Source organism: Homo sapiens, chromosome 16, assembly GCF_000001405.40.
Source record: "Homo sapiens chromosome 16, GRCh38.p14 Primary Assembly".
Lineage (NCBI taxonomy): Eukaryota > Metazoa > Chordata > Mammalia > Primates > Hominidae > Homo > Homo sapiens.
Genome location: NC_000016.10, coordinates 24,002,228 through 24,017,936, shown reverse-complemented (window position 1 = coordinate 24,017,936; position 15,709 = coordinate 24,002,228). Strand labels below are relative to the sequence as shown.

Below are 15,709 nucleotides of genomic sequence, written 5' to 3'. Positions count from 1 at the left end.
ACAGAGCGAGACTCTGTCTAAAAAAAAAAAAAAAAAAAAAAAAATTAGTTATGGTGGCGCATGCCTATAGTCCCAGCTACTTGTGGGGATGAAGTGGGAGGATCACTTGAGGCCGGGAGTTCAAGGCTACAGCGAACCAGGATCACACCACTGCACTCTAGCCTGGGTGACAGAGCAAGATCCTGCTTCCAAAACAAACAAACAAAAAAAGAAGAAATGTTCACTGTTATCATTAATTTTGCCTGTTTTAAAATTCAAGTTTGTTTCTTTCAAATTATTTGTAACAAATTTTCCTGTGTATTATTTAAGGATATTAACCCTTCACCTATGATATATGCAGTAAATGTTTTCCCAGTTTCTCATTTGCCTTTTAATTTTGTCGATGTTCTTTTTTCAACGTATAACGCATGTGCGTGTCTGTGTGTGTGTGTGTGTGTGCCTGCGTGTTTAATAAAGTGCAAATTTTTCCCTTTTCCTGTATGGTTTCTGTCTCTGCTGTCGTATTTAGAAAGTCCTTCCTGATATTTTCTGGTAGTCTTTTATGGTTTCACTTTTTTACATTGAAATCATCATTTCCCTTGGCATTCATTTTAGCATGAGCTCTCAAGAAAGACCTTTATTTCTACTCTTAATGTTTAGACAGCAAATGTATGAAATGCATCTTTTCCCTGCTGATTTGAAATGCCTCTTTTATGATACACGAATTTCTTATGTATTCTCGGCTCATTTTTTAATATTGTCTTATGCTCCACTGATCTGTCTCTCTCTCCCCACCGTTGCACCATACCATAGTATAAGCTCTTGGTATCTAGAGGCACACACCTTTATACCCACTGGCCCCTCCCCTAGCATTCCTGCTTACTTTCAAATTTTTCTTGGTTATTCTTATCCATGTATTCTCCCAGATTGTGCTGGAAATGCCAATCATTGGCTGCTTAACTTATTGACCCTTCTAGAAAAATTCCAACCTACAGCACCAGCTCAGTGGACAGTAAAGCATCTGACCTCATACTTCCAGCCAATGCTGAATAGACCAAGGTTGGGTCAGTGATATGAAATTTATGAAGGAAGAACTGGGCCAATCAGAATTTAGAATAAGGAATTGTGCAGAGCTGGGTGCTGTGGCTGAGCTAAGGGGTGAGGTGGGATGTGATATAGAACCACGGCTGCCAGGAGAAAAACAGATTGGGGGAGCTAGGGGTGGAATTCACATGTAATTTGAGCCTTCTTGTGTTTTTCCAGAAAAGATTTTTTCCCCCATAAACTCTCTTAGTTGGGGCCTAAGTATTTATTCCTAGGTATTTTACCTCTTTATTGCTATTTTAACTGGGATTTTTTCAAATTTATTTTAACTGGTTGTTGCTAAAATACAGAAAAGTTATTGTCATTTATATCTTTATTTTATAACCAGACATTCTTGGCAAAGGGTATTTGATTATTTTCTTGGGTCTTCTTGGTAGACAACATTTGCCATCCATGTTAAGCGAGTCTTTTCTGCTTGGAGATTTATACCTGTTGTTTCAACGAGTGATCTTAGTTCATTAGCCAGGCCAGCAGCTCTTAGCCCGGGTATGCCAGCCTCTGTAGCATACCTGAAAATGTCTTCCAGAGATGTATTTCTAGCTTTCACCATGACCACCCAGGCCGCTGGGTGAAACTCACAGCCGTGGTGAGCCACGATTTTGATGGGGAATACTGTATTCTCAAAACGTTGGTTAAAAGCTGGGAAGAAATGGTGACCTTGGGCCAGCTCTCTTGATGTTATCCCTAGTTAACCTTAACTGTCTAGGAACAACAACCCTAGGGGGAGCTAGGATAATAACCCTAGCGGTAGTTATCCCTAGGGGATAACAATATTTGTTTTGTGAGGTTCTAGGGAATGAATTACCCACAACCTTTAAAACAGCTGCCTGACACAGAGCAGGCACTCAATAAGTACAAGCTATTATTATTAACTATTAATTATTAATTATCACTGCTCAGGGCATCCCTGTGCCTACTGAGTTGTGACTTTTCCCAATAAACCTTATATATATTTCCACTTCTTGGACTTCAGTCTTGATTTCCTGTGCCAATTCCTTCTACTACAGCTATAAGCCATTCACTTATTTAACCATTTAGTCACCAAATATTCGTTGAGTACCTTCCCTATGTCAGTCTAGTTGGGGAAAACAATAAAGAAGCATAAACCAATGTACACTTCCAACAGCTGCAAAGGAGACACTCAGTGCTTAGAGAATTTACAAGGAGAGTGTCGGCTGGATAGAGTCAGGAGGGCTTCCCTGAGAAAATGAAGTTTAAGCTGAAATCTTAAGGAATTAGAGGGTGTAACCAGGCGATGGCCACCTAGCTGGGGCTCTGCCCCATGGGAAGGGAGTAACTGCTCCACTGCATGAGGTTCAGAGTCAACCCAGGTAGACCTGGCTGACACCACCCCACCTCCACCTGCTGGCTTCAGGCTCTGCCTCAACCCCCGTGACCTGTTCCCAGCTTGGACCCCTCAGCCAAAAGACCCTAGCCCCACTGAGAGGGAGTTTAGCATGAGATCAGGGGTCAGATTCTATAGCTGGAATGTGCAAATTCAACACCAGCTCTGGTAATTTCCAGTCGTGCAGCCTCGAGCAAGCTACTTGAGTTATATAAGCCTTGATTTTCTCACCTGTAAAATGGAGAGAAGAGCTGTCACATGGAGAGAAATGACAGTGCTGGAGCAGACACTTCAAGGCCAGACTGTCTGAGATTGACTCCCAACTCAATGACCTCCCAGCTGTGTGACTTTGGACAGGTTACCCAACCTCTCTGAGCTTCAGGGTCCTCATCTTTAAAATGGAAATAAGGCCAGGCGCGGCAGTTCACACCTGTAATCCCAGCATTTTGGGAGGCCAAGGCGGGCGGATCACTTGAGGCCAGGAGTTCGAGACCAGCCTGGCCAACATGGTAAAACCCCATCTCTTCTAAAAATACAAAAATTAGCTAGCTGGGCATGGTGGCGGGTGCCTGTAGTCCCAGCTACTTGGGAGGAAGTTGAGGCAGGAGAATTGCTCGAACCCAGGAGGTGGAGGTTGCAGTGAGCCGAGATCATGCCATTGCACTCCAGCCTGGGTGACAAGAGCAAGACTCTGTCTTAAATAAATAAATAAAAGGAAATAATAATCACACTAAATCCTCATAGGATTATGAGAATTTAATGGATTAATATTTGTAAAAGACTCAGCACAGTGCCTGGCACATCATATATACACTATGCAAGTGTTTGCTGAATATAATGAGCCTGCTTTCTAGATGTGTACAGATTAATGAAATCACAATGATGATGCTTAGCTTGGCACAGTGACTGGCATGTAGTATCCATATGACAAATGTTAGCTTAGAATAAAAATGACATCTGTGATCTTGGGCAAGTCACTGCCATGGTCTGGTCTCAGTTCCTCCTTCTGAAAACAAAGGGGTTAGGCTTGGTATTCCCCAGGGGGCCTTCGAGTTCTGGTGGAGGCTGTTCACAGAGTGAGCCCCACCTCTTCCTGTGCAGGCCGGGTTGTGCATTCATTGCTCAGGGTGTACAGTAGTTTCAGGGAATAGTCACATGGCAACGGATCACACCCACATTATAAATAAATCCTCCATCACCCACAAAACCACACCCATCTCCTCCCCTCCCCACCCCTCTCCCCCTGCAGTGCCGTAAGCCAACTAAGGGAAGTGGTCTGAGCACCCCTTTTTGCTAAGTGGGGGGTCCCGTAAATGCAAGATCACAACATAAGATTATTCAACTTGCAAAGCCGCTGCCAGCTTGGTTTCCAGGTGCAGCCCTGGATGCCCAGCTTCCTGACAGCACCCTCTGTCACAGAAGCTCTCAGCACACCCAAGTCTGCATTTCAGAAGAGCAGAAAGATCCTCTGTATAGAAGGACACGGTGAGTTTGTGAATTACAGAGGAGCCTCCCATTCCTGCAAAGGATGCTGCTGGAGCAAATGCCTGCCAGGTGGCCATCTGCACCGGGGACTCTGCACACAGCAAGTCCAGGCAGGCTCTGATCCTCATGACCGCTAGAAACAATGACCCTGAACCAGCAGGCCCGCATAGACAAGGGCCCTAACTGAGGAAGGTGAATTCTGTGCAGGCCAACTCTGATGTCTATACTTTTTTTTTTTTTTTGCAATTCCACATCTCACCTTTCATCTTTTACCAAGAACCTCACTAGGACGCCACTCTGCTGAACAGACAGGTATTGAAGAGCTATTATGTTCATGCAGCATCCTAGGTGTGGAGTGATCAAACAACGGATGCCAACCCCACCTTCAGGGATTTACAGATCCCAGCAGGGGGTAATAATTACTAGTGCAGTAACAGCTACCACATACAGCACTCACCATGTGCCAGGCACTGTTCCAAGCGCCTTACATATTATGAACTAATTTGATCCTCAACGACCATGTAAAACAGGTTTTTGACTATTCCTATTTTATAGGGGAGAAAACTGAGACACAGAGAAGTTAAGTAACTCGCCCAAGGTCACACAGCTAGTGATTCATTTTTATCCAGAATCTGGGTTCTTTGTCACCATGTAAGTAAATATTAGGTTGGTGCAGAAGTAACTGTGCTTTTGCCATTATTTTTAATTACTTTTAACTAATTACTATTGCACCATTATTTACAATAGCAAAAACCGCAATTACTTTTGCACCAACCTAATATTTAGATGTCCCTAAGATATGTGACAGCAAGAAGAGGTATGTGGTGTGCTGAGTACAAAATATTGGAAATGGGCCTGGTCAGGGAGGTCAGGAAGGGCTTCCCTGAGGAAGTGATGCTTGAGCTGCAGTCTAGAGGACCAGCGTGAGTTGACCAGGGCCCTTAACCCTGCATGCAACTGAGAGGTTCTGAATCAATCAGAGATTTGGACTTAGTTGGTCTGGAATGGGTGCAGACACTGCATTCAGTTAAAAAGCCCTGCAGAAGATTCTACAATGCAACTAGAATTGAGACCCACTGAACTCACAGGGAAGAAGAGAGAGAAGAGTATCTCAGCCAAGGGAGAAGTATGTGCAAATGCCTGGTGGCAGGATGAACAGAGGAGTGAACGAAGGTACTCAGAGTGGTCAAGCAAAGGCTGGAGGGACCCTGACGCCAGAGCACGCAGGGCCTCATGAGTAGGACAATCATATCCTGTATCTTCCAACAGGGACTCTTGTGAGGATGACAAGGGCACCAGCCTTGTGGTACGCTGACACAACAGAACAAACCAATTTGGTTTATAGGCAAGCTTGGCAGAGGAGGACGTATGTCCACCCTGCTTCGCAGCCACTTCAAAGAGTATTTACTTTGTCCCAAGAACAATGGGAAGCCATTGACATGTTTTCAACAAAGAGGATGACATGATCACATTTGGTTTTTAGAAAGGTGTGGAAAGGGTAGGCCAGTGAGACAGAGAGGAAGCAGGGAGACAGGACCAGAGGCTACTTGTCCAGAGAGGGTTAGTGGAGTTGAACAAGGGTCCTCTCAGTGAGGATGGGACATGGTGGCTAAGAGCAGGCTCTAGAGCCAAACTCAAATCCAGACTCTGCTTATTAGTTATGTGACCTGGCAAGTCAGTTCACTTCTCTGGGCCTCAGTTTCCTCCTCTATAAAATAGGTGTTAAAAAAGCATCTTTCTCATAGGGTGAGGATTAAATGAGTTAGCATATATCAATCACTTAGAACAGCACGTGGCATATGATAGGTGCTACATACATGTCAGCTATAATTATTTAGGAGGCACTATAGGATTTGGCCATGGAGAGAAAATGAGGGTGAAGGAATGTCTGGGAACACAGAGCAAGATGCCCCAAGAATTGATCACTGCTCAGTGGAATTTGGGAGATTCACAGTTAAGGAGTGAAAAGGATCAAAGACAGAAAGTTTCATGAGGAAAGGCTGAGATGCAGCATTAAGGAGTGAAGCCAGGACCTAAAGACCAACACTGAAGGCAAAGCAGGTTCAGGCCTCTGGGTCAAGCAAACATTTCTATGATATGCTAGGCACTGTTTTAACCTCTTTGCATAGGTTAACTTATTTAATACTCACCCTAAGAAGTAGTATATTATCATCTTCACCTTGTAAATGAAGAAACAGGAACAGAGAGGTCAAGTGACTTATTTAAAGTGCACAGCTAAGGTGGGACACAATGGTTCATGCCTGTAATCCCAGCACTTTGGGAGGCTAAGACCCATCCGGGCAACATAGCAAGACCCCATCTCTACAAAAAAATTTAAAATTAGCCAGGTGTGGTGGTGTATGCCTGTGGTCCTAACCACTCAGGAGGCTGAGGTGGGAGGATCACTTGATCCCAGGAATTGGAGGCTGCAGTGAGCTATGATTGCACCACTGAACTCTGGCCCCAACAACAGAGTGAGATCCTGTCTCAAACAAAACAAAATAAAACAAAACAAAACAATGAAAACAATGATACACAGCTAGTAGGTACCAGAGCCAAGATTGGAGCCCAGGCAGGCTAGTTCCAAAGTCCACACTCTTTATTAACTTGCAAGGCCACAAACCTGAGCCTATGCATTTCACTCTGCTCTCATCCACAAACTACCCCTGAAAGTATCAGAAGGAATTGTTTAAAAATGGGATAAAATCTATTTCAGCCCAGAAACCAGGGAAAGGTACCAAGCAAATGCCAGAAATGCTTTTCAATAGATAGAAACAGTGAGACTGGAATTGTGGGAAGGACGACCTGGCCCAGTCCTTCTTACCCTACCTCCAATTTAAAAAAAAATAGAGTGGTGGCTGGGCATGGTGGCTTATGCCTGAGTAGTCCCAGCACTTTGGGAGGCCAAGGTGGGAGGATTGCTTGAGCCCAAGAGTTTGAGACCAGCCTGGGCAACATGATGAAACCCCATCTCTACAAAAAAATTAAAAAATCAACCAGGCGTAGCGGCACATGCCTGTAGCCCCAGCTACTTGGGAGACTGAGGCAGGAGGATCACTTAAGCCTGGGAAGCAGAGGCTGCAGTGAGCCGTGATGGTACCATTGCACTCGTAGGCAACACAGTGAGACCTTGTATCAAAAAGAAAAAAAAAATCGAGTGGCAAGGTCTGACTGAGGGAGTAGGTAATTGACCAAATATAAGTGAAGGTGAGTCTAACAGGAGCCTATGAAGTCACTGGCAGCAGCAGGCACTTGAGCAATATTTAAAATGATGAATCTTCCTCCCAAAACCTGCAGGAGAAGCAAGTGGCTTCCAGGCTCACCTGCAGATCTCACTGGACACGAAGAGGGTGCTAAAGGACAGCAGGGGGCGCTATAGCCACTGACTCCTAACTAAGGATATGTCCCAGCCAATTTAGAGCTCAGACACCAAGAGAGAAAAAAGACTTCTGCATTCTTTTAAAGCTCCCTGCCTTGGACTATTGCACACTCTCTACTCTCCAAAGAAAGCCCATTTGACTAAATTTACATTTTCCCTTCTCCCCTCCGATGTGGGGTGGGGGAGACCTTCCACTGACAGTCCCCACCTACGAATGCAGAAGTTGTAAACCGGAGGTTCACAGAAGGAATCCAGTCCAAAAATGTGTTTAAAATACACCACAGTTGTAATTCTTGAATTCTCTGTCAAAATCTAAATTTAGGGGATTTCAGATTTCTCTGGAAAAAAATGGGAAAACTTAGACCTTCATCCTTTAAACAGCAGGAATTAGGAAACGGAGCTGAGTGCCGCTGCCCCTTTCAGATAGGGTGTTCAATGGGCCAATGGGACATGCCTGTGGTCACACACGTCACTCATTCACCCACCTGCCTGGCCCCTGCTGGCTCTGAAGCTGGACATCCTGATGAACAGGATGCTATGTGTCCTTTCAATATCATGTGGCCACACACACACACATATGAAAGAAACCAGCCAGACACAAGAGATGGTCTACTCTATAATTCTGTTTTTTGGTTTTTGTTTGAGATGGAGTCTTGCTCTGTTACCCAGGCTGGAGTGCAGTAGCATGATCTCGGCTCACCGCAACCTCAAGCGATTCTCCTGCCTCAGCCTCCTGAGTAGCTGGGATTACAGATACAAAAACCATCATGCCAGGCTAGTTTTTGTATTTTCAGCAGGGACGGGGTTCTGCCATGTTGGTCAGGCTGGTCTCAAACTCCTGACCTCAAGTGATCCCCCCTACCTCGGCCTCCCAAAGTGCTGGGATTACAGATGTGAGCCACCGGGCCCAGCCTAGTTTTGTTTTTTAAGTGCTCAAAAGCAGGCAAACTGTTTTCCATAGTATCTGCAACATTTTGTATTCCTGCCAACAGTGTACAAGGGTTCCAATCTCTCCATATCTTTGCTAACACTTGTCTTTTTTAAAAAAAAAAATAGGCCGGGCGTGGTGGCTCCCACCTGTAATCCCAGCACTCTGGGAGGCTGAGGCAGCAGAATCACTTGAACCCGGGAGGTGGAGGTTGCAGTGAGCCAGGATCACGCCATTGCACTCCAGCCTGGGCAACAGAGCAAGACTCCATCTCAAAAAAAAAAAAAAAATAGTCATCCTAACAAGTGTGAGATAATATCTCATTGTGGTTTTGATTTGCATTTGCCTAGTGATTAGTGATGTTTAGCTTTTTAAATTTTCATATGCCTTTTGGTCATTTGTATGTCTTCCTCGGACAACTGCCTATTCAAGTCCTTAGCCCGTGTGAAGGTTCCTCAAAACATTAAAAATAGAACTACCATATGATTCAGCACCCTCACCTCTGGGTATTTACCCAAAAGAATTGAAATTAACATCCTGAAGAAATGTTAGCAGTTCCATGTTCATTGCAGCACTCTTCACAACAGCTAAACGTGGAAGCAATCTAGGTGTCCACTGACGAACAAATGGATAAGGAAAATGTGTTTATGCATATGATGGAATATTTTTCAGCCCCCCAAAAAGAAGGAAGTTCTGCAATGAGACAACATAGATGAACCCTGAGGACATTATGGTAAATGAAAAACACTAGTCACAGGAAAACAAATACTAGATGATTCCACTTACGTAAAGTAACAAAAATAGTCAAATTGATAGAAAATCAGAGTGAAAGGGTGGTGGCTACAGCCTGGAAGAAGGGCAAAATGGGGAATTACTTACCAATGGGCATCAAGTTTCAGTCAAGCATGATGAATAAGCCCCAGAGATCTGCTGTCTCGTACTGCATCCATCATCAACAATGATGCATTTTACACTTAAAACTTTGTTAAGAGGATAGATTTCATGTTACGTGTTCTTTCCAAAATAAAATAAAATAGATCACTGGGGGTGGGGGGAAAAGCAGCCAAAGGATTGCTGGTCTGGTAGTGGTTATTTTGATGGATGGGGAGGGACGTGTAGAGATTAGAAGGAGCAAAGAAGGGCTTCTGGGGCTCTGCTTACAAAGAAAAATTCACTGTGTGAGAATTCATCAAGCTGGACACTTTTCCCGTACAATAAACAGTTGTCAAAAACTGTGTGACCAGTCCAGACTAAAACCAGCACCCTTGATTCCAAATTCTAAACTCCTAGAAGAGGCCAATTTGATCCTGTTTGGGAGAGATGTCCACACGCATCTGGACCAAATCAGGCCAAGGCTGTAGGGTCACAGACCTTTGGCAGTGCATATCTGGAAAGGCAGCTCTCAGGGAAGAAAGCTGCCTGCTTCAGGACCATTTGTGCAGGTACACAGGGTTGAGGTCTACCAGGCAGTTTGAGGTACTAGGTAAGAGCATAGCCCCACGGGCCAGAGGGCCTAGAGCTGGACCTCTCACAAGTGACCTTGAGCAAGTCATTTAGTCTCTGAGTACCTCAGTTTCCTCATCTGTGAAATGGAATTATAACAATGATAACCTATCTCACAGGGTGTAATGAAGAATGAAGAATTATTATATGTAAAGTGTTTAGGACAGAATTATATCTATAAATGCTGGCTCTTAGTTTTTTTTTTTTGAAAAAGAATACCAAGACATCCTAGAATCCTAGACCACTGGAGGTGGGGGAGCCCTCATGAGGGCATGAACCTCATGAACACAAAAGAGCAGAGACAGAAAGAAGACTAGGAAACGTGAGGTCTCTTGAGTCCAGAACCAGGGCCTTTCACATCCTTTCTGGCTGCCTATCTCCAAGGCCATCTGCCTTTTGATTTCTCCATTTGCCCCCAGGCCTGCAGGCTCCAGAAATTACGGTCTTCTGGGAAATTGTGAGGCTGGTCCTGCCTCCCAACTAGGAGAAGCCACAATAATTTATAGATGGGACGCATCAGCTTCATTCAAGTCCCAGCAGCTCGCCTCTCTGTGCACGGTTGGTTTCTGTTCTCTGGCCTTCCAGCATCATGGATTTGCTTCTTCCTCCACAGCATGCAGCTCTGTGTCTTCGTGACAGTGAGGGACAAAGGGATGTTTGGAAGCAATTCATTCTGACCTTTACAAGCGGGTTCTGCATTGCAGAAGCAGTCAGCCCGTGGCAAATGAGAGCAGAAGAATCATGCAGAATTCACTTGACAATCAAGAGAACTGCATTTTATCACATTACCATCATTTTATCAGCCCCTCTCTCCAACCAGCCCATGGGAGATGCCTTTCCATTTTGCAGAAAGCAAGATAAATGCATGCAATTCCAAAAATAAGGATGGACTTTTGAAATGCACAATCTAAGACTTGAAAGGATCATTTGTGGCAATAATATTAACTAGCATGTCCTATGTGCCAGTTACGGCATGAAGCTCTTACCATCTAGGTTAACTCATTTAATCCTCACGTGGACCCTATGAGGTGGGTGCCATTTTATCCTCTTTTTATAGATGAGGAAACTGAAGCAGGGAGGTTAGGTAACTAGCCCAAGATTATCAGCTAGTTAGTGGCCAAACTGGAATTCAAACTCAGTCATTCTGGTTTCAGAGCTTTTATACATATTGCCTTACACTGGCTTCTAAACCCAGCTATCCATCAGAATTACCCAAGAACTTTTTAACACATGGATTCCCAGGTCCTGATCTCTATCTCTTCAGGTGAAGCCTGTCATCCAATCTCTCTGCAATCTGCAATGTAGCATTTAGAAATTGTAGCAAACACGTTGTTCCAATTGGCGCAACATCTGTGCCTTCTTCCCCCTCCCCACCCCCTGCTCCCCGTATCAGTACTTCGATTCTCCTTTGAAAAGCCATCCTACCCCCACAGCGTTTAGTCTTTGAAAGAACATTTTAAAAGCCCGACCCAAGAGTTTGTTAGGCAACTTGAGCTCGGCCAGATAATCTCTCTCCTTCTGGAATTTGAATTTAGGCTGAATGTAACACAAGAACCAAAATCAGATAGAACTGGTCTGGTTGTTCAAGTTTTCTTTCAACGCTCTGAAGGATGCCACATCTTTTCCAATGAATTCCTTTCCAACTTATGTTAACCAAAGATGGTTTCTGTTGCATGCAACAAAACAACAAAAGCTAGTAGAACCACCAACATGGTAGAAACCCACATCTACCACAGCTATGCCCTCTACAGCATGCCTGGCAATTGAGCTTTACTATCCTCGGATGGGGAGCTAATATTATTATGTAGCAACCAGTTGGTCAGTATGGGCTGTTCTTCGTTAGCCTGCACAGATGGACCTCAGTCCTACTTCTCCTTTAGAACTGCACCACAAAAATTCTGTACAAGAGCTCTTTGGACATTTGATGACAGTGTAACCTCTGAGCTAGAGAGGCCAATCCTCGAGTATCTCCAGACTCCTTCTAAGGCATCCTCTTGGCATTTGGTATCGCCCACGAGAACTTCTGTGTGGATTCAGAAGCTATGGACTGCAGTGTTATGTGAACAGGATGTGATTTCAGCAGGATGGTGCACTTTCAGATGTAGGGAGATAATAGATAAGTGAGAGAGGGAAGAAGGGAGGAAGGGAGGAAGGGAGGTGGAGACTGTATCATTTAGACTAAATTGCCCCTGACATTACTTATCCTTGAGAGATGTAAATGGGTCTTTTGGTCCAGGTGATGGTCATCCCAAGAGAGATGTTCAACCCTCATTGCTGCTTCGCTCCCTGGAAGGAGCATTATTTTTGAAAGTTCACTGTGGGTGTCCCCACTTGGGGTTATGTAAGACAGAAGAAACCAGGCGTTGAGAAAAGTGCACTTGACTGTTACGTTGCTTTACTGAGCCAAGGAGACCGGATGACACCAAGAGGAGGAAGCGAGCCTTTGCCCTGAAGATCAAGGTGGTCTTCCTGCCACTCACACTGAGGCAGGAAATGGACAGGGCCTTGTTGGCAGAGCCAAGATTCCCCTTCTCTGGGGCCAAAAATGAATTGAAGTCAAGACTTATCAGAGGCCAGAATCTTATTAGAAGCACCTGAAGATGCTCAGTCCAGGAACTGAGCTGACTCCCAGCGGATGGAGGACCTCAAGAGTAACCACATTTGGAAGGAACTGTAAGTGACTCCCGATTACGCCGGAACCGCCACTCAAGTTTGGTCCTCACTGAACTAAGTGGGAAACCTGAGTCTGCACTAGAGGTGGAGTGGCCCCAGAAACAAACAAAACTGGAGAAACCAGCTACAGAACATCCCAAAGTGACCTTCAGAGCTCTGCAGGTAACAAGTCTGGCATAAGACAGTGAACAGAATTAAGTATTCACGAAAATTTATTTAGGGAATGTGGCCTTTGGCTTTACATGTGTATATATTTTTATATTTTTAAATCTATCATACCTGACCTAATGTTTTGTTGTCTGCTTTTTTTTTTTCATTTAGCAATATATTATGACTGCATTTCCAGGCCAATGGCATTTTAATCACTGTGACTTTTTATTAAAGTATAATTTACATACAGTAATGTACAGAGTTTAAGCATATAGTTTGATGAGTTTTGAAAAATGTGTACACCTGTATAGGCACCATCCCAGTCAAGACACAGAACATTCCCCTTATCCCCAGACACTGTGACACTGAATCACTGGCCAGCATTCCACCATATGACTGTAATATATTTTACTTATATAAACTCTAATTGGTAGTGAGACTTGGGTCATTTTCAAATTTTTGATATTATAAATACTGATGCAATGAATATCACTCTAGATAAATCTATGCATTTATCCTGAAATGGTTTCTTACCAAAAATTCCTAGAATTGTCATTCTTAGGTCAAAATGATTAGATTTAGTAATTCTTAGGTCAAAAATGTGTTTAAAGCTCTGGATATGTATGGAAAATTTGCTCTTTAGAAAACATATACTAATTTGCCACTCACCAGTAATGCATTAGAGTTCATGTTTTCTCCTTCCCTGTTTTATGTTTTTGTTTAGTTTTGTTTATTTGAGACAGAATCTCACTCTGTTGCCCAGGCTGGAGTGCAGTGGTGCAATCACAGCTCATTGCAGCCTCCACCTCCCAGGCTTAAGTGATCCTCCCACATCAGCCTCCTGAGTAGCTGGGACTACAGGTGCATGCCACCATGCCTGGCTAATTTTTTCTTTTTTTTTTTTTTTTTTTTGTAGAGACTTGGTTTCGCCATGTTGCCCAGGCTGGTCTCAAACTCCTGAGCTCAAGTGATCTGCTGGGACATCTGCCCCCGTTTATGCTTTTTGTTTTGAGTCCTATTTCTTTTGATATCATTATTAAGACCATGTTTCATTTTTATATATGTATTTTCATGATACACTTTTGTCCCTTTTATTTTTAAAACCTGTGCTTTAAGCATCTTTTATACACTGCCAAGAGTTGTACATTGCTCATCCAATCTCATAGTCTTTGCCTTTCAGTAGAGAATTTCAATCCATTTACATTGGTTGGGTAACATTCTGCTATCACTTCTACCATCTAAATTTATGCTTTCCAGATTCCACGGTTCCTTGCTGGCATATTTTTATCTTTATTCCTATATTTTGTTATATTGATCATAATTTTCTTTGTTGTTTTATCTCTAGATTGTTTCCTCCACATTATTTGAATGCATAATGTCCGTGACAACAATAAAATAGCATTCACTATTTTATTTGGGATATGTTCATCTAGACTCATGTATGAGACTGGCTTGTAGTTTACTTTTTATGCCAACTTTACTAGGTAATAGCGGTTATTGTGGTTAAGCAAGCTTATAATAATTAGTTATTACTTTCATCAGCGCATCAAAGTTTCTCCTTCACTCTTCTTATAACATACACTGCTCCTGGGTGAAAGGGATGCCATGGGATCCAGGTCTGAGGTTATAAGAGTTCGTTCTCCCAGTGATAGAGAACCAACTCCATCAGAACATTTTCTGAGATCAATTATGAATGCAGGGAAGATGGCTGGGTGCAGTCGCTCACGCCTGTAATCCTAGCACTTTGAGAGGCTGAGACAGGGAGATCACTTGAGATCAGGAGTTCGAGACCAGCCTGGCCAATATGCTGAAACCTTATCTCTACTGAAAATACAAAAATTAGCTGAGTATGGTGGTGCACATCTGTAGTCCCAGCTACTTGGGAGGCTGAGGCAGGAGAATTGCTTGAATTCAGGAGGCAGAGGTTGCAGTGAGCTGAGATCGTACCACTGCACTCCAGCCTGGGCAACAGAGCGAGACTTTGTCTCAAAAAAAAAAAAAAAACGAATGCAGGAAGAAGGCTAATTCCTCCACTAGGGTTGCCATCTTTCCATGGGGTCAACTGTAACGATGTTTGCAGACATGTTCCATCTACAGCAGGAGCAAATGAGGCAAGACAAAGCAGATGCATCAGTCAGGGGCCCCGCAGGAAACAGATGGCATACTAAAGTGAAGAGTGTTTAAGAAAGGTTCAATGAAAGGACTGTTTCTAAAGGTGTGGGCATGGTGTTGGGAAAGTATAAGGGATTGGAGGCTAGTAAGAGCCAGAGGACAAAGGAAGGGAGTAGCTCCTGGAACCCAGAAGGAGAGAATTACATAGAGAAGATGATCTGTAGAGGAGCAGCAACCTATAGTCAAAAGGTAGAGTGAAGATGACTCCATAATAAATACTGACTGACTCGGGGAGGGTCTCACTCTCCCCTCCCCAAGTCTCCTATTAGCCCCTCCCCTTGAGTCCAACCAGAGGTCAGGTCAGAGGGTAAGGGAGCCCCAGTTGAAGCAGTCATTATGGCTTAGTCTCTCAGAGAAAGCAGAGTGGATTGGAAGGGCAAACGAGGCATCTGGCACAGCAGATAAGGGTCAGTGTGGTAGACTGCACAATGGCCACCAATGTCTCCCATCCCCGCATGCTCCTTGGCCATGTGACTTTGCTATTCTTCCCATCCAGAGATGAAGTTTGTTTCTCCACCCCAAATCTGATCTTGTCCATAACCACTGTGACACAAACAAAGGCTTAAAAAACACCTATGCTGGCCAGGCGCAGTGGCTCACACCTGTAATCCTAGCACTTTGGGAGGCTGAGGCAGGCAGAACGCTTGAGGTCAGGAGTTCAAAACCAGCTGGCCAACATGGTGAAACCCCGTCTCTACAAAAAATACAAAAATTAGCTAGGCGTGGTGGTGGGTGCCTATAATCCGAGCTACTCAGGAGGCTGAGGCAGGAGAATCACTTGTATCTGGGAGGGTTGCGGTGAGCCGAGATCACACCACTGCACTCCAGCCTGGGTAACAGAAAGAGACTCCATTTCACACACACACACGCACGCACGCACACACACACACGCACGCACACACACATACACACACACACACCTGTGCTTTGGGATTTCCCTCTCTTGCCGTGCTTGGAACCGTGAAACTAAGCTAGCCTGGTGGAGGAAAAG

The 15,709-nt window shown here is 44.1% G+C and overlaps 1 protein-coding gene across 3 annotated transcripts in view, besides 3 other annotated features; it reads right to left on the bottom strand.

Annotated features, from left to right (window-relative positions):
* PRKCB (protein kinase C beta) overlaps window positions 1-15,709 on the bottom strand; it is a 384,629-nt gene that overhangs the window by 202,675 nt on the left and 166,245 nt on the right. The gene's annotated exons all lie outside the window — the stretch shown is intronic.
* Window positions 3,187-3,256: an enhancer, noted in NCBI's record as "active region_10597". NCBI's record gives its function as "activates an Ori minimal core promoter by ATAC-STARR-seq in GM12878 lymphoblastoid cells {active_cell/tissue: GM12878}" and the evidence as "EXISTENCE:reporter gene assay evidence [ECO:0000049][PMID:35858748]".
* Window positions 3,367-3,486: an enhancer, noted in NCBI's record as "active region_10596". NCBI's record gives its function as "activates an Ori minimal core promoter by ATAC-STARR-seq in GM12878 lymphoblastoid cells {active_cell/tissue: GM12878}" and the evidence as "EXISTENCE:reporter gene assay evidence [ECO:0000049][PMID:35858748]".
* Window positions 7,182-7,231: a silencer, noted in NCBI's record as "silent region_7285". NCBI's record gives its function as "represses an Ori minimal core promoter by ATAC-STARR-seq in GM12878 lymphoblastoid cells {active_cell/tissue: GM12878}" and the evidence as "EXISTENCE:reporter gene assay evidence [ECO:0000049][PMID:35858748]".